Source organism: Homo sapiens, chromosome X (genome assembly GCF_000001405.40).
Source record: "Homo sapiens chromosome X, GRCh38.p14 Primary Assembly".
NCBI lineage: Eukaryota > Metazoa > Chordata > Mammalia > Primates > Hominidae > Homo > Homo sapiens.
Window position 1 is genome coordinate 135,149,229 of NC_000023.11, and position 23,417 is coordinate 135,172,645.

General features: G+C 41.1%; 1 protein-coding gene across 2 annotated transcripts; it reads right to left on the reverse strand.

Annotated features, from left to right (window-relative positions):
• Nucleotides 1-7,307: 7,307 nt before the first annotated feature.
• On the reverse strand, nt 7,308-22,599 carry CT55 (cancer/testis antigen 55). Of its 2 annotated transcripts, NM_001031705.3 has the most exons (6): nt 21,850-22,170; nt 20,366-20,550; nt 11,183-11,327; nt 8,971-9,083; nt 8,088-8,275; nt 7,312-7,800 (listed from the first exon to the last, which is right to left on the reverse strand). In NM_001031705.3, the coding sequence occupies exons 1-6, from the start codon at nt 21,941-21,943 to the stop codon at nt 7,731-7,733; spliced, it is 795 nt and encodes a 264-aa protein (NP_001026875.1). In that variant the 5' UTR covers nt 21,944-22,170; the 3' UTR covers nt 7,312-7,730. The 2 variants fall into 2 exon arrangements, with proteins under 2 accessions (NP_060333.1, NP_001026875.1); NM_017863.2 differs by having other exon boundaries at nt 7,308-8,275; nt 21,850-22,599.
• Nucleotides 22,600-23,417: the final 818 nt, after the last annotated feature.

The window sequence follows — 23,417 nt, forward strand, 5'->3', positions numbered from 1 at the left end:
AAGTAACAGAACTCTGCTGCATAAATTATAACACCAAATGCAGCTATATAGACCCATACCAAAATAGGGACACACATTTCACAGGGACCACTCAATACTACCCAATAATCCTACTGTATTACCCCCAGGAAGTATGATTTTCCACAATCTGAGGTTATCTATGCTTCTAAATGTAACACAGCTGTGTTAATTTCCTAGGGAGGCCAAAACACATTACCCCAACTGGGCGGCTTAAGACAACAGAAATTTATTCTGTGGCAGTTCTGCAGGCTACCAGTCTGAAATCAAGTTGTCAGTGAGGTTGGTTCCTTCTGGTGAGCTCTGATGGAGAGTCTATTACAAGTTTCTGGAGGTTACCAGTAGTCATTGGTGGCTTTTCTTGGGTTGCAGATGCATCACTCCAAGCACTTCCTCCTTCATCTGATGGTGCTCTTACCTGTGTGTCTGTGTGTCCAATATCCCTCTTCTTATAATGCCACCACTCACTAGATTAGTGGTGTATGACCAATCCTAATGCTGTGGGACCTCATCTTAATTTGACTTTTTCGTTTTTTATTTTATTTTTTTGCAAAGACCCTATTTCCAAATAAAGTCACATTCACAGGTATTGGGACTTAGAACTTGAGCATAACTCTTTAGGGGCGAAACTGAACCCACAACAACTGCTCTTGTACATTTTGATTACTCCAATATTCTATGATTGTCAATGAAAAATTAGGACACACAGATAAGCAGACATTTCCTCTTATTTCTCTGAGAAAACAAAGGCCATAGCCGGGCGCCGTGGCTCACGCCTGTAATCCCAGCACTTTGGGAGGCTGAGACAGGTGGATCACCTGAGGTCAGGAGTTGGAGACCAGTCTGACCAACATGGTGAAACCCCGTCTCCACTAAAAGTACAAAAATTTAGTTGGGCACGGTGTGTGCCTGTAATCCTAGCTACTCAGGAGGCTGAGACAGGAGAATCGCTAGAACCCAGGAGGCAGAGGTTGCAGTGAGCCGAGATCACGCCATTGCACTCCAGCCTGGGGAACAGAGCGAGACTCCAATTCAAAAAATAATAAGAATTTTTTTTAAAAAAGAAAACAAAGGCCGTGAGACAGGAGCTCCTCTGCGAACCTCCTGACACCCATCCTGGCTTTCTCTTCCTTCTCTCTTGTAACAGTGAAAGGACATATCAGCCCCTTCCCAGGGCTGACCCTCCACTGAGCACATGGAACCATTCTCTTGACACATTTTCTCTGAGGATGTCGCTTCTGTTGCTATTGTCTCTCTTCGTCCTGCGTCAACAACCATTCTTTTTGAATCTTTGCTTCTAATGGAATAACATGCAAACATACACAAGAATCACCCATCTTAAAAACGTCACAGACAAGTAACTCCCATCTTTAAAAATGTGCATAGATAAATAAGCTTCCTTGGCCTCATTTCCCCTTCAGTCCCATTCCTCTGCATCCTGTCCCCCACAGCAAATGCTATTTCAAGAATCACCTCTGCTCACTTGCTGAGCTCCCATTCCCTCCTTATTCCTCTGGCATTAGGCTTTTACCGACATCATGCCCCTAACTTGCTCTTAAGATGGCAGGAAACCTCCAGGTCACCAAATCCAGTGGTCAATATGCTAAGCTCTCATCACTCAACCTCTCAGTGTTTGACGGAGTTGAGGACTCCCCATTTCTTGAAATAAGTTCTTCGGTCTTCTGTGTGACCACCCTCTCCTAGAAAGGCTCCTTCTCGGCTTCTTTTGCGAGATCTTCCTCCTATCAGGATCCCACGAGACTGCTCCAGGGCCCAGGCCCTGAATGGCTTCTCTATCCACACGCCAGCCCCATGGCATCTAACGGCAGGTAACTCCCAATCCCATATATATACTGAGTCACACACATGGTTGTCCCATAGACGACTCAAGGGTAAGGTGTCCAAAATTTCACGTGCCCTGAGCTTCCTTCAACCCCTGCACCTCCTTAAAACTTCTCCGTCTCAGACGATGTCAGCTCAGTTCACACAGTGGGTTAACATCATATCCCTGCCATAACCCTTAGTTTTCTCCATTTTCTTTACACTCTTCACGCCATCCATCAGCAAAAACTATCAATCCTTTGAAAACATACCTGTAGTCTCACCACCTCTAAAGAATGATTGAAAAAAAAGTCACTGGGTCAAATGTTTTAGTTTCCATCATGGCACAGAAGAAAGCAGAAAGAACCAAAGAGACAGCAGCCACTCAGACATATGAAAACATGCCCAAAACCCTTCCATGTGTCCCTGCTGGCACAAATAGAGCTAATAACGGATGCTGCAGCAAGAGATTGGTGCTAAGAAATCGCCTTAGAAAGAGGTAAGAAATAGCCTTCTCTGGCAAACTTCACTAAGTCAGACTCAGCCTCCTCTGCAGGGTTCAAACTCTGTTGGCAGAGAAGCTACAGGTAGATTCCAGCACCAGGAAGACAGGTCCCTGCTGAGAGAATACTGCAGAACAAAGAAGGGGCTCTTCTATACCAACCTGCTGGAAACACTGTGAATGATCTTTGTGGTAGGAGGTGCCTCCAGAGGCCCGGAACACATCAGATAAGAAATGGCTGCTGGACCTGAATGCCAGGGGATGAATTCCACTGGGCCACAGAGCAGCTGTGCGCCCCCTCTTTCCTGTTTGTGTCCCTGACTTGGCTGTTGAATGGACACGACGCTACTGGGACTTCTTTCATAGGATTCTTTGTGAGCATTAAATGACGTGTGTGTCCCAAGGCCCTTAGCCCAGTGCTTGGCATATACAAGGGCTGGACACAAAGTAGATTAACAGCAATTCTGAACAAGGATGCCATGCACCCCATTAAACCTTCTCACATTTTAACTGTCTCCCATGAACAAAATGCACACCTTCACAAGTATCCATGAAGCAATCATTCAGTGCCAGATTCCAGCAAAGATATAACCATGTGATTCGCCTTCTTGGCTTCTAGTGACCTGCATGTTTCACTCTCAAATCAGGGAAACTGACTCCGACTGAAAATATTGAAAACCATCTGTTCGTGGTCACTGCCATCAAAAACCTCTTATCAGAATCACCTGCTTACATTTCTTTCTGTCACTAACTGCTAGACGGAAATTCTTACTTATTCATATGCTTATCAGAGTATTTATTGTCGGTCTCTTCCCACTTGTATGTCAGCTTCATGACTGCAGAGCTTTTGTTCGTGGTTGCTTTTTCCATCTGCTGGGCCTTCAGCATCTAGAACAGTGCTGGGCACATGGTAGGTTCTCAATAAATACCACAGCAATTAGTTGAATCAGAAAAGGGTAAGATCCTGAACCATTCCAGCAACCTGAGAAAGGATCTGGTTTTAAGGCAATTCACACCAAATCTGACTACTTTGCTTTGCTTTGTGCATCTACCTAAACAGTATTGGGCCTCATTCAGAATTATGTTGCAGCTGGCTGTAAATGTAAGAGCTGTAGTTTTGAAGACACTAGATCCCGGCTCAACTCAACTTTTTCCTGGCTTTGCAACCTGTCCCCAGGAGTGTGACCACAGCAGAAACTTATAACGATTATAGGCCAATAAGTTGGGTTCTCTTGCATGTCAGTGACTCAGCCTCCCTTGTGTACATGAATTGCACCATGGAGTAAAATGTTACTCCTTCCATTACAAAAGCTACACTGGAAATAAGTGTAAATAAACACTGGACTAGTGTTTAGACAAACATTTCTATCAGAATAGAGTGACAAGGTTTAGATGACATGTATCAATACATGTATTATTCATTATGATTTAATGGATGGGGACAATTCCCATCCATGGGAATTTTGGGATCCTCATGTGATGGGAGTTTTCCCAATCCATATCTTTGTTTTTGAAAACACAATGAGTGTATGGATGGCTTTTATTTGTTACAGAATGTCAATGTTAGCTCTCTGTTGTCTTAGCTTGGTCTGCTATAACACGATACCACGGAAATTTATATTGCACAGTTCTGGAGGCTGGCAGGTCCAAGAATAAGGTGCTGACTGATTTGGTTCGGGGCAAGGGCCCTCTTTCTGGATCGAAGATTGTCAACTTCTGGCTGTTTCCTCCAATGGAGGAGTGGAAGCAAATGCTGGCTTCTTTTCCTCTTCTTCTAAGGATACAAATCCCATTATGGGGCTCTAGTCTCATGACCCCATCTAAGCCTGACAGCCTCCCAAATGCCCCTCCTCCATATATGATCACATTGGGGATTACGGCTTCAACAAAGGAATTTTTGGGGAACACAGATGTTCAGTCCTCCTAACCACTGTGAAGTATGTTCTTTATGCTGTCAAAATAGCTTGTACCTTTCCTTTTGTTTCCTTTCCTTTTCTTTTTTATCTTTTTTTTTTTTTTTTTTTCGAGATGGAGTCTCCCTATGTCGCCCAGGCTGCAGTGCAGTGGCAGGATCTTGGCTCACTGCAACCTCGGGCTCCTGGGTTCAAAGGATTCTCCTGCCTCAGCCACCTCAAGTAGGTGGGACTACAGGCGCGCGCCACCACGACTCCCTAAATTTTTTGGCATTTTTAGTAGAGACAAGGTTTCACCATGTTGGTCAGGCTGGTCTCAAACTCTTGACCTCAGTTGATCCACCCAACTCGGTCTCCCAAAATGCTGGGATTACAGGTGTGAGCCATGCACCTGGCCACCTTTTGTTTTCTTTCAATGGAACTTCAACAATAAGGTTATGCTTTTCACCCTTTGTATATACAGTAGGCCTTCAACTATGCAGAGGATTTGGGGAATGAAGTTTCTAATTCACCTCATTTAGGGTCGACTGGGGCAATGCTCTTAGAAAGTGAAACCACGGTAGGATGACGTTGCCCCAGCAGGGTGAACTCTTTTCCTCCCCCTTATGAGACCAACAAGAGTGCTAACTGATCTGAGTCCTCAGTTATGGATGTTTAGACTGATAGTCCTTAACCAACCCCAACCCTTCACTCTTCTGGCCAGGCCAGCAGCTCTGGAAAGAAACTCATGAAGCATTTAACCCAGGCTGTCCTAGGTGACTATTACAATGAAATGGTGACTAAAAGCCAGTTCTGTGAGCAGTTCCAAAGGCAACAGAGAGCCTTTTTCTCTAGCCCTCCCATCCCTGTAGAGCAGGGCACCCAAGTTTAGGAAGGCAGGCATGGAGCCTGCCAAAAAATGGTTCCAAGGAGGCCTCCTGCAAGCCAGGGTGCATGAGAAGAGGGAGTTAGAGAACAGATGGAAGGCTGTCCACAGTAGGAGAGCATATACGGTAGGATTGTGCAAAGAAGTAAATACACAGAGGATAATGGAAGGTAGGGTTCCCCAAAGCTGAGAAGGAAACAATACACATGGAAAGGTGGAAAGAGAGGAAAACATGGAATAAACTCTGTATTCCTGGGCTGGATACTGGAGGTTTACGTGCAACCTCAAGTTTGCCAACAGAAATAAGAGCTTCAATTCAAAACATCATATTCTCCAACACCAAGGGAACAGGGATCCTTCTAAATAGGGCTGATTAAGTAGAATTTGAAATTTTGACAAAACAGAGAACTACACCCTAAGCATAACAAAGAGGGGTTGTTTACATTCACAGAGTATATCCCTTTGGCAGATGTACAGTTAAAGATTTATGCATCTCACAAGAGGAGTGAAATGACAAACCAGAACCTCTGAAAGCTACAGGTGGTTAGAGGATGAAACCACAATCACGATGAGAGGCTTCAATGTACCCCTTTGATTAACAGTATGCATTATCATGACAGCGAGAACACTAGGTTCAATCTATTGGGCCATGATTAGGCTCCGGGTACCTAAGTATAACTTTATGTTTTAGAATCATTGCAGGCATCAGGCCAGAATTGGCAGAAGGGCCATAGTTTGCCAAACCCGGCTAAAGATCATTATCTTATTTCATTTTCTTCATTGCATGTATCACTAAATGAGCTGAGAGGCATCTGATATCAGCACATCTGCAACGCCTTCACGGCATGGGGCAGTTGGAAGCTCCGTGGCAGAACACTGGCGCCCCAGAAACTCGTGGTGACAGGTCCCTGTATTTTCAATCCAAATCTTTTGTACGTGGGGAAAGCACGTTTCTGACACAGTCTACTATTTCCTAGTCCCTGAGTCCTTCCGTCCTTGTGCCGTGAGGTCATCCATTTAGGGACACAGGTGTGATGGGGGTGAGATGATCAAGGACCATTCATTATCAATTGTGGGAAAGAGCCTTGGCATAACACATCCCTGAGGCAAAATATTCAAAATGAACCGCTTGGTCTGCCTTATGAAAGCAAAGCAGTTCTGGGCTTTGCTATTTGAAAGAAGATAGAGGAAATGTATCCAATCCCTGCCCCACTGCCCAGCTGAACTGCTGCCTCCCAGGTGATCTTCAGTCCTGTGAGGAAGTTTGTGAAACAGTGGCTGTGACTGAATCATCAGCTGATTGGGCTTATCATAATACATTGTAACTCCCAAAGAACATTCTTCCACATCAAACAAACTGCAGAATTAAATGGGGAGGTAGTGAAAGTCATGACCCTTGCATCTCTCAAGTCCAACGTGGACTGCTCTGTAATTCCACAGGGTGTGGGGTTGCTTTTGAATGACGACATTCACAGGGACCTGGTGTTGCCACAGCTCCCACTTACCCCTTTCAATCATAGGAGCTACTGCTGCATGGGTCAGGAAGCCGAGGACGGTGGGGGTGCCGGGGGGGTGGGGTTGGGGCATTGAAAGAACACAATTCCATTAGGGCCTGGAATTTTGTCCTTTTGGTTAAGGATATAACTCTAGAGCCTCAACAGTGCCTGGCACATCAAAGAGAATCAGTAGGATTTTGTGGAGTGAACCAGTGAGTGAAAATGGGAACTTTACAAGACCTTCACTGTTTCTATCAAGCGGGAAACAAATCCCTGGATAACTGAGAGGTCTCACTGGATCTGTAGTGGAAAGTCAAAACACAACTCTGTTTATTCAAGGACCGGTGGTAATGGTGGAATTATGAATCACAGGACTCAGGGTAAGTTTACAACGACACTCAAGCTATGCCCAAAGGTCTGAATATATCCCTTCCCCTAGGTCACAGCTACCTGGTTAAATATTCTATTAGAAGAAAGCATGAAGTTTCCTGGAGTTTACTTGTGGGATTTTAGTATAACCTTTCCCAGTGGGTAAGCAGCTTGTCCTTCCCTCAAGGGGCTCTGTGTTTGTACGTTTCTTCGTGACTTCACATGAGCTGCACCCCTGCAACAAAGTGGCTCACAGAGGCTCATGTACAGCAGAGTCGACTTTCTATGGTTGTTGGTGTTGTTTAAAAATCAACAGAGAGGTCTTAGTGCATTGCTCAACAATTTTATTCCTAAGGAACCAGTGATGAATGAACCACAGGTAAGTATCATTGCTGGCCCAGTCATTCAGTCATTGAACTTAATAACATTTTATCTGCTCATTGAGTCTGCCAGGCACTCTTCTAAGTGCTTGGTGATGCTTTAATGACAACAGAAAAAAAAAAAGAAAGAAAAAAGAAAAAAAAAAACCAGATTAAAAGACATCCTGCCATTGTGGAGTTTACATTCTAGCATGGGGAAGAAGGAACAAGTAAAACAACAAACACCGCAAGTTATGTGGGTGACAGAAGATGAAAGAGGCTATGGAACAATACAGGTTGTACAGGCAGCATAACGGGGCTCAAAACTGAAGTCAAATTGTAACTTTAAATCATGCCTTTAACATGCTGTCCCTGATGCCTTTTCAGTTAAATGCTTTGGCTCCGACGTTCCCTTTTGGGCCGTCCCAGGCCTCCGTCATCCTGGAATCCGCTGCTGCTAATGGGAAATATGGAATTCAAATTTAATGGCCGTGTTCATTTTAATTAAGAACTCCTTTCCTCCAGTGACTAGCAAGCTAATTTAGCATGCTTTTTAATTAATAAGTTATTTCCCTAAGCTGGGTTCCTGGTCCAGTTGGACTGGCCAGTGTCTCAATTAGATTTGCCAGAAAAGTCATATATAAAATACTATTTAGGCTTACTAAGCTAACCTTTTAAGTTAAACCAGCCCCTTTACTGCTCATAAAAGGAAAGATAAACAGAATAAAAATGCTTTGTCATTACGATTTATGCACTGGGGTGATAGAAATCGCTCTCCAAATAAAGCAGAACTGAATGCTCTCCACCATGACCACATTGACGATATCATCTACTTGAGGTACGTATCCATCAGGAAGTTTCACAGAATCCAAGGTGAAAAAAATAGTATAATCTATCACCCCATTTCTTCCATGTACGCTAGTAATGCAGACCTGTGAGTATAAATAATGGAAATGATTATGGAAAAGCCCAATAAGCACTGTAACCAGCTTTGCACCTCCTCACCCTGGGTCCTGCATGAGTGCAGGTCACTTCGATGCAAATCATTGATTTCCAACCTGGTTGGCCCATTGCTAACACCAGGGGTGCTTTGTAAGGATACCCATGTCCACGCTCCACCTCAGACCAATTAAATCAGACTCTCTGGGAATGAGGCCTGGGTCTCTGATGAGAAATCCTGCTCTAAATATTACCAAAATATGTCCATTACCCTCTGTTGCCTTGAATTGCCTGTGCATATTCAGGCTTTAATAACCAAATCATTCTTAGCATCTACTGGTCAGCTCAAGTCCCACAACACACTCCGTTCATTCTTTCCCTATAGTTTTCTGGCACAAAGATTGTTTTTCTTCCTCCTGTCCTTGGAAGATTCTAATAACATTTGGGTATCGAGTAAAATGCACAATTTAGAACTTAATCATGTGCTTGTTCTATATAATTTTCTAATTATTTCCTTTGGAAAATTCTGCCTTTTCAATAAGAAAAGTGGCTCCTTTGTTGGCAAAGAATGTATTTCTTCATATTTTCTGGAATTCCCATTATACCCAACAGAATCCTGGTCACGTAAATTATCACCAAAGGAAGAGTTAGCAGAAACTGCTGACGGGAGCAACAGGAAAGAAATTACCTCTTCCGTATGAATACAACGGATGGGCTTCACAGAAGTTGCCTTGATGTTTGAGATGCCTGGCTCAGTGGAATATTCAACTTCTAACAAGTCACCCTTATAAGGCACAAAATCTAAAACAGCCATGGAGAAATGTGAGTGTCATGATCTCTTAACTAGGTCACTTTTAATTTCACATGTTATTTGATAGTGTACTACTTTAAAGTCAGTTCTGCTAAATCTAAAGTCCATTTTGTGCATATTTAAACAGACACTACAAATCTCTAAGTCCAAAAAGAAGTTTATAATCCTTAGGCATTGATTCTCCTCTACTGATTTAACAAATTTAAATGGAGGAAAGTGTGAAGCATGCATCACAGCCAATATGAGGGAGCAGCACAGGATTTACTAAACAACTGTTAGTGTTCACAATTGCTTAGTGAGAGGCAGTCAAACATATAGGTAAGAGCACAAGTTTGAACCTGGCTATGTGGCTTCGAATCTTGACACTGCCACTCACTCAGTTGGCAACCTTAGCCAAGGTGGTTAATCTGTCTGTGCCTCGATTTCTTCATCTATAAAATGAGAAGCACAGTAAGTAGCCTTCATGGTACACAGCTGCCTTGAGAATTAGTTGATATGTGTGATACGCACAGAATCATCGCTGGCGCATAGCAACCACCAAATAACTGTTGATTGGTAGTAGTGGTAGCAGTACCGCTAGGAAATGTTGTTACTTTCAGAATGAATCAATTTCCCCTGGTGTTGTGTTCAACTAATGAACTCTTAAGTATGTGCCTTACAGGTTACAGTTAAGACCATCAAGTTTCAAACAGAAGTTTGCAATAAGTTAAAAGTGAGTCACAGGATAACAAAGTTACGTGAAAGAATCTGGAGCAAGTGGAAATCCCAACTGCAACTGAGACAGTAAATTGCCACAATGAAAACTAGTGATATCAACAAAGTTAAACATTTCTTCACCTTAGGACCCAACACTGTAGAATGACATAAGACACTGTGTTAGACCTGTTCTCTCTCTCTCTCTCTCTCTCTCTCTCTCTCTCTGATAATTTACATACATTTCTTTTGTGTGGATTTGACATATATCTATATGCTTATAACTCCAAAATGTATATGCCTCCAGTTCTAACCAACCTCAGGGTCAATTATCCATATGCTTACACCAATCTAACGTGTGTAAAGCTGAGTTGTTGGTATTCTCCATATTCACCAACTTTTGTTTGCCTCAGTCGTCTACATCACAAACTGGCAACTCCACTCTCACAACTGCTCAAATCAAAAACTTTGGAGGTACCTTAGACTCATTTTCCCTCCACAACAAAGATCTAATCCATTACCTCCTGGGTTCTTCTCTCACTTCAAAATATATCCAGAGTCAACTCAATCCTCAGGTTTTCCACTTCTCCATTTTCATTCACATCTCCATCATCTCTCACCAGGAATATTACAACGTTTTCCTGACTGATTTCCTGACTCCACCCTTCCCCTCATAGTCTCTTCTCAACAAAGCAGACAGAGTCAGCATCGTCAAACAAAATGCAGGTCAGAATCCTGCTTTTGCACCCAAGAAAACAAACTAGCAAGCTGCCTGGGGAAGCGGAGCTAATCTCTCCATTTATACCCAAGCTATACGACAGCTGCAGTAGACAAAACAGACAAAAAAATATCGTTGGGTAGAAGCTAAATATTAGAATATATCTGCCGATTACAAAGAGAATTCAACAACAACACACACACACACACACACACACACAAACAGACAACCACAAGGCGCTATCTCCAATCCTAAGTTTGAAGCATTTGAAGTGTATTCTTTTAAAATTTGGTAGTCTACCTTGTCACAGAAACTTCTCTAGTAACCAACTACAGAAATGATGCCTGCAAGTATAGTCTTTGAAGGGTATTAAAAATAGTGTCTCTATGCACTTGTAGGATTGTTTTCTTGATTAGAAATTAAATTCTCATATGAATGAATAGTATATCCAGGCATTACTGAGGGCATTGAACAAATGAACACACAATAACCAACAGCACACAATTTATAATACTGTCTATTTGCCCCTATACTGTACTTAATTTCGATTGGAACAGTCTACCTCTAACACTGAAGAGCCATTGACTGAAGCCAAGTACACTGTAAAAGTTGTTCCAGGACTAAAATCCTCTCAAAAAATTAAGAATTACATCATATATTTCAAAATATAAATCATACCTTCAGAAACAATGGCTATGGAAAAATAAATGCTGTTACTAATATAAATATTATCTTCATTTATAGAAGTAACACATCCAATTAAAACTCTGGTTCCTGAGTCTGAGGGTCCAGCACCATAAAGATGGCGAGGCACAACATCCACCTGTAAGATTTAGGAAAGAGTTTACTTCAAAAACAATACAAATTTAAACATGGAACTTACATGATTAAAAGACTTGTATTCAAAAATATTTTCAACAGCCATCCTAAACACTGGAGAATATAGTTCACTTGGTAAGTGGACCATTGACTTGAGATGACAGTAAAAGTCATGTGCGTGCTTCAAGAATTGTGAAATGTATCCCAAAACATTAATTGCATACCCAAGTTTAATGTCCTTGTACCATTAGATTCCAAGATTAAAATAATACCGTCCTTCGCCTGCAGAAATTCACAGTGAAATGACGGTAAAGTGGAAAGGTATATAGTCATAAGCAGGTTGCGATGAAGGATATAAAACTAGTTCAAAGATGGTTTCTGTGAATTATCTAGAGGGAGAACATTTCAGACAGGGAGAAAATAGAAGCATTGTTTAGGGGAAGTCAGATTTGTGCTGGGTTGGGAAAGAAGACGGGGTAAAGGAGCAGGGAGGCAGAGAGAAAAAACAACAGAAGTTAGGAGCCTAGGGAGCAAAACCCTAACATCCGAGATCCAGGCCTAGGAGACAGAAGCATGAGATAAAGTTGGAGCAATAACCTCAACTGGGGGAGGTTCGAAAAACCAAGTCAAATTAGGGCTTTACTTTATCTACAATAGAGAGGCATACAAACCTTTTCCCTTGTTGGAAGTGTAATAGTCCTTATTTTATAATCCTTAAAACTTACAAAAATAGTGTAAGCTTGTTATACTAAAAGTAGGAAAGAAAACAGATAAGCAGACAGCAAAAAGCAGTTACCCCACAATCCATAATTCATTACCAAGAGATCACCAGGGACTACATTTTTGGCAGTAACACTCATCCTGATGTTTTTGTCTGTGCACAAATATATATACATGTGTAAATGCCTGTTTTAAAAGCAAATTAGCATGGTATTCAGTGTTAAAGTATCACATTAAATGAACACAAAAGTTTTTAAATAACAAGAGAGGACGGAAAGAGTCATAGGGAATCCCAATTAATGGATGTGCCGTAATTTACTAACCCAATTTCACATAATTAGACATTTCACTTGTGTCATAGCATTTGGACTACTTGCCTGACTTAACTATAGGATAAAATCCTAGGGTTGGCATTTGCTGAGCAGAGACTTCTGATGGAAACTTGAGCCACTGAGTTGTAAAGAATTTTTCATGGTTTTAAAAATAGCCTAGTTTGCTGCTATTCTCATTTCTAAACTGGTGTCTTTCCAGCTGTCAATACCAATCTGATGTTTATTATCCCCTCACTTACTGTCATGAAGGAATGAGGCATTAGCCTCCCATCCACATATCTATCACCACTTCCGTCAGTATCCCAGTGGATGATCCACAGCACCCTCGGACCTCTCTGTTCCTTGACTCCACGCCAACTCACAGACATATGCAGACTAAAGCTTTGCCCATGTCTCATGGCTCCCAGCTCTGTTTCTTATGCCTTGCAAAGACGACCAACACAACAGCCGGTACAAATAGATTCAAATGTTTACGATAATGTGTTGTATGACACAAGTGGCATTTCAATAAAAAGGGGCAATGTGGATTATACAATTAATGTTGAGGGACAACTGAGTAGCCAGTAGTGAAACAAGATGTGGATCCTTCTCTCAGTCCTGCACATGAAAAGCAAACCCAGGCTGGCTGTATGTTTAGATATAAATAAATGAATGACTTTCAGAAGAAAAGCTAAGTGAATACTTGTGTAAATTATGTCTTAGAATTAGCCTAAGGATACTTCCTGAACCCAGAAGCCACATGGACAAGATGGACATATTTATAGTATGTAAAAATTAAGCAGATAGAGGAGGAGGGGAGCAAGATGGAGAAATGGGACTCTCCAGTGATTGTCCTCCTGCAGAAACATCAATGTGAAAAACTATCCTTGTATGAAAATATCGTCACTTGACATAAAGAAACCAGGTGAGAGACCATGGTACCCGGTTATAGCATGAAAATAAGAAAACATGCACTGAAGAGGGTAGTAAGGACAGTTTTACATTACCCACATCACCCCTTCCCCGACCTTCAACAGCAAAGCATAAATAGAGATACCATCCATCCAGAGGAGAGAGACAGTAGCAAGCATAGGACATTGCCTAGGAACCCAATATCAGGCCACCACTTGACAGATGCCCATGGCCCCTGACTCTCAGATGGTACTTGTGGACAGAGTCTCTAGACCCACCCTGGCACCAGACAGGAAGCCACAGCCACAGCAAAACAAACTCAATATCTGGCCCACATCTCTCCCTAGTGATTCCAGTGGCCTTATGCTCAGAATAATCTACAGCAACAGGGAGTTCTCAGTGAATGGAGGCTTGGATTCCAGTCTCACAAGGGACCAGCCTCAATAGCTAGGGGAATCCCAGCCATCCTAGCACCTGCCGCTGTGTCCCTGTGAATAGGCATCCCCCTAGTGCTTCAATAGCTGTAGTGTTCACAAGCATAAGGACCAAAAGAGACCTATATAGAGTTTCTGGACAGGCTTACTGCTAAAGGATGTCCCCTAAAAGCTAGACTGCAAAGACCGAAATGGATACCTACTTCTTCAATACGCAGATATAAACACATTACCACAAAGATCAAACACAATAAGGAAAACATGACATCACCAAACTGACAAAACAAGGTGCCAGCAATTGACCCTAGAGAGACAGGAATATATGAGTTGTTTAACAAATAATTCAAAATATCTATTTTCCACATGCTCTGTGAACCTTGAAAACAATTACAGAGAAATGATTCAGGATTTATCAAAGTAAGTTGCAGGAAAGATTGAAAGAATTGTTAAAAACCAAGCAAATCCAGAAGTTGAAAAATACAGTGAAGGAAGTACACGATAGAGAACATCCAAAGAAGAATTGATTGAGCAAAAGAAAGAATCTGTAAACTTGGAGACAGGTTCATTGAAAATATACAGTCAGAGGAGACAAAATTAAAAGGAAGGACACGGAATGAAAAAAAACTAGATTTCTGGGACAATATCAGAAGAGCAATAGTATGAGTCATTCACATTCAAGAGGGAGGAGTGAAAAAGAGGTAAAAAGATCATTTAAAAAATAATAATGGAGAGCCATCCAAACCCAGAGAAAGTTACAAACGTCTAGGTACTGGAAGACCAAAGTTCTGCATTCAGATACAATCCAAATAAGATTACCCCATGACATATTAAAATCAAACTGTCAAAGATGAAAAATAAAGAAAGAATCCTGAGAGCAGTAAGAGGAAAGAAGCAAATCACATATAAGGCAGTTCCAATATGCCTACCAGAAGACTTCTCAGCAGAAGCATAATAGGCCAGGAGAGAGTAGTATAGTATACTTTAGGAACACAAGGAAAAAAATCTCTAAGCAAGAATAATGTACCCAGCAGTGAAGGGGAGATAAAGACTTTTACAGAGAAATCACAGCTGAGAAATTTCCTCACCACCGCAACTGTCTTACAAGAAATGCTAGGGAGAGTTCTTCCAACTGACGTAAGGGACGCTAATGAGTAATGCAAAAACATCTGAAGGTATAAAACTCACCAGTAAAGGTAACGACACAAATTCAGAATACTCTAATAAGGTAATGGTGGTTTCCAGATCACTTATATCTTTCATGTAAAGGTTAAAGAACTGAACTAGTAAAAATAAAATAAGTACAATAATTTGTTAAGGGATACAAAATATAAAAAATTGTAAAGTGTGAAATAGAAAACTCAAAATCCCAGGGTGGAGTTAAATAGTAAAGTGTTTGTATTTTGTGATCAAAGTTATGTTATCAGTAAAATAATCTGCCGTGATTATGTTTCCGTAAGCCTCATGCTATCCACAAAGAAAAACATCCTGTAATAGACACACTAAAACAAATACAAACAAAACCACAAAACACACTAATAGAGAAAAATCTCTTATCCATCAATGAAAACAGTAAAAGAGAAAGAAAGGAAGAAATTACCTACAAAATAGATAGAAAAAAATTATCTAAATGACAACAATAAATCCTTACCTATCAATAATTACCTTGATAGGAATGGATGACATCCCCCAATTAAAATGCACAGAGTAGCTGAATACATTTAAAAAGCAACAACAAAAACAATCAAACCTATGAGAGACCCACTTCTCCTTAAAGGGCATTCGTAAACTGAAAGTGAAGACATGAAAAAAGATATTCTTCCATGTAAAGGGAAACCAAAAGAGAGCAGGAGCTGCTAAACTGATTTCAAATAAAATAGAGTTTAAATCACAAACTGTAAAAAGAGACCAAGATCATTATAGAATGATGAAGGGGTCAATTCATCAAGAGGATATAATGATTTCCAAAAATATGCACCCAACATAGCAGCACCTAAATATATGAAGCAGACATTAAGGTATAAATGGTGAGATAGAGTGCAATGCAGTAATAGTAGGGGACTTCAACACCCAACTTGCAGCAATGAACAGATTGTCCCGACAGAACATTGACCCCACAAAAAGTGGGATTTATCTGCACTCCGGACCAAATGGACCTGACAGTCATTTACAGAACATTCCATCCAAATACTCCAAAACACATATTCTTTCCAACTGCATGTGGAACATTCTCGAGGATAGATTATGGGGCAGGTCATAAAACAGGTACTAGCAAATTAAGGGAATTTGAAATAACATCAAATCAGTTCTCTAACCACAACGGTAAAGTATTAGAAATCAATAAAAGTAGGAACTTTGGAAACTTTAGAAGTGGATGGAAATTAAACAACATGCTCCTAAATAACCAATGGGTCAATGAAGAAATTAGAAGCAAAGTGTAAACATTTCTTGAGTTGAAGCAAAATGAAGGCACAACATACGAAAACCCATGAAATACAGCAAAAGCAATTCTAAAAGTGAAGTTTACATCAATAAAACCTACCTCAAAAGAAAAGATACATCTTAAATAAACAACCTCACACTGCACCTTGGGGAACTAGAAAAACAAGAAAAAAATGCAATGCAAAATTAGGACAGAAATCATAAAGGTCAGAGCAGAAATAAATGAATAGAAATGAGAAGAACAATACAAATATCAATGAAACAATGACTTGGTTTCTTGAAGAGGTAAAGCAAATCAACAAAACTTTAGCTAGACTAAGGAAAAAAGAGAGAAGATTCAAATAACTAAAATCAAAGATGAAAAAGGACACAGCACAAATGACATCACCAAAACAAAACGTATCATAAGGAAGATTATGAACAATCATCTGCCTACAAATAGGACAAGCTAGAAGAAATGGCTACATTCCTGGACACATACAACCTACCGAGATGTAATGGTGAAGAAATGGAAAATCTGAACAGACCATTAATGAGTAAGGAAAGTGATTCAGTAATAAAAAATCCCCCATCAGTGAAGAGTCCAAGACAGAATGACTTCCCTTCCTAATACTACCAAATTTATATATAAAGAAGAATAATTAATAGCTATACTTTTAAACCTATTCCAAAAAAAAAAAAAAAAAAAAAAAAAAAACGGACAAGAGACGAACACTTCCGAACTCATTCTGTCACAACGCATTACCCTGGTAGAAAACCCAGATGAGGAAACAGAAAGAAGAGAAAACCAAAAAAAACTACATGCCAAAATTCCTGATCAACACAGTTGCAAAATCTTTAACAAAGTATTAGTAAAGCAATTTCCACAGCACATTAAAAAAATCATTCACCATGTTCTAGAGGACTTCATCCCTGGGATGCAGGGAAGTTTCAACATACACAAATCAATAAATGTGCTATATCACGTGAAAAGAATGAAGGAAAAAAGCCATAGGTTCATTCCAATTTCAGCAGGAAAAGCATTTGATTGAATTCCACACCTCTTCGTGACTAAAAACTCCACAAATTAGGTATAAGAGGAGTGCACCTCAACACAATAAAGGTCATATATGATAAACCCACAGATAACATCATACTGAATGGGGAAGTGTTGCAGGCTTTTCCTCTAAGACCTGGAACAGGACAGAAATGCCCACTTTTGCCCTTTCTATCGCACATAGTTCTGGAAGTGCTAACCAGAGAAATTAGGCAAGAAGAAACAAAAGGCATCTAAATTCAAAAGGAAGAATTTAGATTGGCCCTGTTTGCAGACGGGAAGCTGTTACTTATAAATAACCCTGAAGACACCACCAAACAGCTACTAGGTCTAATAAACAAATTCAGGAAAGTGGCATGAGACACAACCAACATACAAGAATCAGTAGTATCTCTATACACCAATAGGGAACTATCTGGAAAAGATATCAAGAAACAATCCCATTTACAACACCTTCAAAAAAATTAAAATAGGAATAAATTTAACCAAGGAGGTGAAGGATTGCAACACTGAAAACTATAAACCATTGACGAAGCAAATTGAAGGAGGCAGGAATGAATGGAAATATATCATGTGTTCATGAACAGGAAGAATAAAATATTGTTAAAATGTCCGTAACCTAAAGCAATCTATAGATTCAATGCAACTGCTATGAAAATACCAATGACATTCTTCTTGGAAATAGAAGAAATACTCCTAAAATTTGTATGGAACCATGAAAGATTCCAGACAGCTGAAGCAGTCTGGAATACAAGGAACAAAGCTGGAGGCATCACACTATGATGTCAAAACATATGACAAAGCTATAGTAAGCATAACAGCACAGTACCAGTATAAAAACGGACACATCAACCAATGGAGCAGAATACAGAGCCCGGAATTAAATCTGTGCATTTACAGTCAACTAATTTTTGACAAAAGGCCCGAGAACACACAATGTTGAGAAAGTACAGTCTCTTCAATAAATGATGTTGAAAATAACTGGATATTCATCTGAGAAAAATGAATTTCCACCCTTATCTCTCAGCGTGTATATAAATCAACTCAAAATGATTTAAAGCTTTAAAATGAAGACCCAAAGCTGTGAAACTACTAGAAGGAGACATAGGGGGAAAGCTCCATGACATTGTTCTGGGCAACGATATTTTAAAAACAGGACCTCAAAAGCAAAGGCAAGAAAAGGAAAAATACACAAATGGGATTACATTGAACTAAAAAGCTTCTGCACCACAGAGGAAACAATCAAAGAGTGGAGAGACAATCTATGCGATAGGAGAAAACATTGACAATCTATGTATCTAGTAAGGGGTCAGTTTCCAAAATGTAACTCCAACAACACAATAGCAAGAAAACAAATAATCCTATTAAAAATGAGCAAAAGACCTGAATAGACATTTCTCAAAAGGAGACATACAAATGGCTAACAGGCATGTGAAAAAACACTCACCTTCTCTAATCATCAGGGTAATGCATATCGGAACCACAGAGATACCGAGTCACGCATGTTAGAATGGCTAACATTAAAAAGACAAGATATAACAAGTGTTGGCAAGGATGTGGAGAAATTGGAAGCTTTATGCACGGTTGGTGGGATGTAAATTGTTACAGCCACCATGGAAAACAGTATGGACATTCCCCAATATTTTAACAATGGAACTATCACACTATCCATGAATCCCACTACTGAGCATGTATCCAAAGAGAGTGTCATCAGTGTGTCAAAGAGATGTCAGCACTTCCATGTTTGTTGCAGCCCTATTCACAATAGCTATGAAATGAAAGCAATCTAAGTGTCCATCTACGGATGAGTGTATAAAGGAAATGTGGTATAAATACACAAGGGAATGCTATTCAGCCATAAAACAGAACAGAATATTGCCGTTTGAAATAACCTGGATGAACCTGGAGAATGATATGTAAGTGAGATAAGCCAGTCACACAAAGACAAATACTGCACGGTCACATTCACATGCAGAAGATAAAAAAGTTGATCTCATAGCAGTGTAGAGTAGAATGGTGGTTACCAGACGCTTGTGTTGTTAGGGTGGACAGAGGAATGAGAAGATGTTGGTGAAAGAACATATAATTACAGTTGTATAGAAGGAACCTTTTTTAACTGTCCAGAATATATACAAACAGAAAGTGGATAAGTGATTTCCTGGAGCTGGATGTTGTTGGGGGAGGGGACAGTTGGGGGAGCACGAAGAGCTTCCTTTTGAGTAATGAAAATGTTCTAAAGTTGATTGTGGTGATGATTGCATAACTCTGTGAACAAATTAAAAACCACTAGATTGTTCCCTCTAAGTGGGCCAATTGTATAGTCACGTGACTTATATCTCAATAATGCTGTAAAAGAATGAAAGACATAAAGCAAAGGAAAAAGATGGTATCAGACGAAATACTACAAGGGCTTCATACACAAACTTTCCTATTACAAATCTAATTTTCCTACCATAGAGATAGCCATAAATATCCCTATTGTATCAGTAGGTCTAAGAAATAAAACTTACTGTAATCTCATGAAGACCCTTAATAATTCCAAATGAATGATGAGACTGCTTTTCCTTTCTCATATGTGCAAAGATTTCAGATCGATAGTATTGTTGTCCTTGCCTATATGGGCAGATGGGCAGTCTCACCTCCTATTGCTGAGAGAATCAATTAGTACAATAGAGCTAAAGAATAATTTCATAATAGCCACTGAATGGGCAAATATCTGGGCTCAGGTGATGTTGCCAGGACTCCGTAAATCTGCAAATGTTATTGAATTGTACCCTTAAGAGAGTTTTGTGGTTGGTGAATTATAATTCCATGAAGCTCTTTTTAAAATATTTACAATGCACATGGCTTGACATAGAAATTCCACTGTTTTGAATGCACACTACAGAAAATGTTTTTTTACCTGATAAGGGAAGTTGTAAGATTATAAAGAGTTCAATAATTATTATTGTTACTCATATTGTTTAAAGACTAGAATAATAGATAAGTAAGCTTTTATGTTTTACAGCACAAATTACTACAAATATTACAACAGAAGAAGCTACAGCTTCAGAGGAGGGGGGCTTCAAATTGCAGTCTACATCCACTCTACGGATCACAGCAGAGATGTCGGATTAACTCAAGAAAAGAAAGATGGAGAAAGAAAGCCCACTGGGATAAGACACAATTCCCAAACTCATGCACATCTCACCTTGATTGCTCTCAATCCATAATGTGGTTTATCTTCTTCCACAACCACATTAACTTTTTGTCCAACTTTTAGAGGCACGTTGCCAGTCACAACATCACTACTGAAGTAGATCGACTCATCAATCATGCCATAATCACCACAGAAACTTGTGACAACTCCCTGCACAGTTGTCAACTGGGTGTCACCTACAAGATAAAGAAACAAGGTCACATTATTAGCCTCAAATGCAAACACCTACTACAAGTAAGTCTTACACTCACCATCTGCATAACCCTGGGCAGAGAAGTTTTATAACGTCTCTGACCTTGTTTTCATCTGTCAATCCACAACAATCACAATTTCGCCTAATAGGGTTGTTGTAGGTTTTTAAAATATTTTTAAAAATTTATTAAAATTTAAAAATTTTAATTTTTAATTATTTTTTAATTTTTTGAGCAGAGTCTGGCTCTGTCGCCGGGGCTGGAGTGCAGTGGCGCAATCTGGGCTAGCGGCAACCTCTGCCTCCTGGGTTCAGGTGGTTCTCATGTCTCAGCCTCCCCAGTAGCTGGGACTACAGGTGTGTACCGTCACACCCAGCTAATTTTTGAATTGTTAATAGAGACGGGGTTTTGCCATGTTGCCCAGGCTGGTCTCCAGCTCCTGGCCTCAAGTGATCCACCTACCTGGAACTCCCAAAGAGCTGGGATTACAGGTGTGAGCCACCGCGCCCAGCTTACGAATATTAACTGACACATGCACATCAACTGTCGAGAGCTCTGAGTGCCTTGCACAAGAGTGTGTAAATGTTACCTGTTAGCATTTCTACATATGAGTCTTTAAGCTTCTGCTCCTATTATATTCCTTCATCATTATCACCAACATGATGAGTAGCACCTTCTATAGATACTTAACCATCTCAGCAGACAAAGTACTAAAAGATATCTGGAGATTGAAGGCTAGCCCAAAACGGCATCTGAATGGTTTTCTTTATTTCTCCTTCTTCTTCTTCTTCTTTTTTTTTTATTCTGCACAAGCCTAGCTGATCAGCAATACTTAGGGATCAAACCTCAGCAGTCGCCGGCAGGGGTTCTCTGCCTTCCTTTGGGATCAGATAAGTATGAGGCATCAACTTGGCTTCAAATTACATTCCCGTTTGGGATACAAGCCTAAATTAACTCGCAAATTAGGGAGTTTCTCGCCTACTGGAAATATAAATAGGCATGTGCTGTGCGACCACGTGGGGGAAAAGCACAGGCGGTACAGACCCCAAGGTCTTCTCTGTCAACACCTTCCCGCTTTAGATGGACAGGAGAGTTTGGGGGTTGGTTCTCAGGGAATTGTTGAGGACTCGGGTTGCCTCGGGTTGCCTCCCCATGCACGCACAAGATGGAGCCACCGTCACGTGCAGTACCCACCCGAGTTACAACAGCCTCATTCCGGGGGTGAGGAGAACCCCTATTGGGAGGCTTCTGGGGTGGGGGACAAGGGGACACACAGAGGAATACCTTGTGGGAGGCCCTGCTGCTGTGGGCCCTGTCGCTCTGCAGGGTCGGCCGTCCTCCCGTAGAAGGCCAAAGCAAGTCTCAGAAGCCTGAGCATCGTCCCAGTTGTCACCACCGGCCTGGGCACCGCTTGTGGCAGATGAAGCACGAGGCCTCCTCAGTAAGGGAAGCCCTCAGGTCACGGCGTCTCCTCAGGGACTCACTTCCTGCTTCTCCTCAGACACTGTGGCATGGGACCCACCCGTTAGTGAGCCCCCCTCAGGAGAGTCAGGGACACCGCAGCCTCCAAAGGAGCTCCCAGCTTCTCCGCTGACTTCTCCCTCTGAGCATGCGCTCGTCAGGGCCCGCCTCTACCACTGTCCAACCAATGGGCGTGCAGTGGGTGGGCGGGCAGGTTCTTGTGGCTACTAAAAGGCGATGGGTGGGAACATCGTGGCTTCTCCCATCAAGGCTGAGGGAGCCATTAGGATGGCCTGGGGAAAATGGCTTGGGAGCTTGGGTTCTGCATTTACTAAGGAGATACAGGGCTCTTCTCTTGGGTTCCCTGGGAGGATGGGTGCCTGAAACACCGGCTGTGCAACCAAAAATCCTGCTCCTGCCCTTGTATTCGTGGTGCTTAGCATAAGGAGTCACCACTCAGTGGGCGGTCAATAGTTACTCCTCACCAGGGATCAATTTTGTGGAGAGAGGGCATCATGTGGGTAGGCAATGTTTTAGTGATGGCAAGTACGTGTCTTGTGTACTAGGACTGCCATTTTTAGTCCAGTGATAATTTATAATAGAATCCTTTTATGATCATTGCTACCATGTACTCATCGCTTACCTGGTTATGCTTACATTACTCTGATATACACATTACCCTTATTCATTCATTCAGCAAAACTTGTAGGGCACTAACTGTGAACCAGACACTGTTCTGTGTTCCTAAAATTTGTTAATGAATGAAAGAGTCAAGAATCTTCACCCTGTGAGGGTAGATTTTTCACAGGATGACGAAAGGGTGACACTAAACATCACATAATAAAATATATGGTATGTTAGAAGGCAATAAATGCCATGGAAAAATATAGCAGGACAAGGGAGATCCACAGTGCTGGGCATGGGGTATTGGATTGCACTTTACAATAGCATGGTCAGAGTAGCCCTCATTGGAAAGCAATAGTTGAGAAAGATGTTGGAGTTAGCCAGGCAGCTATTTTTGGAGGAGCCGTTCAGACGGAGGGCACAGTTTGTGCAAAGACCATACAGCAAGACTGTGCGTGATGTATTCAAAGAAAAGCAGTGATTAGAGCAGAGGCAGTGAATAGCTAGAAGAGTGGGAAGTATGGTAAGAGAGATAATAGAGGTTCAGGCTGCATGTGGGATAGTGGGGCACTGGAAGTCCTTTGGCTTTTATTGTCCATGACACGTAAAGTCCCTGAAGGATTTGGAGCCTCCAGGGATCACTCCAGGTGCTTGGTTGTGAACAGGCTGGAAGAGGTCAGAGCAGGAAGCAAGGAGAACAGTTTGGATGATTCTGATGCAATCCATGGGCACTGTGGATGAAACCTGTTTGTCTTTCCTCTCCTACT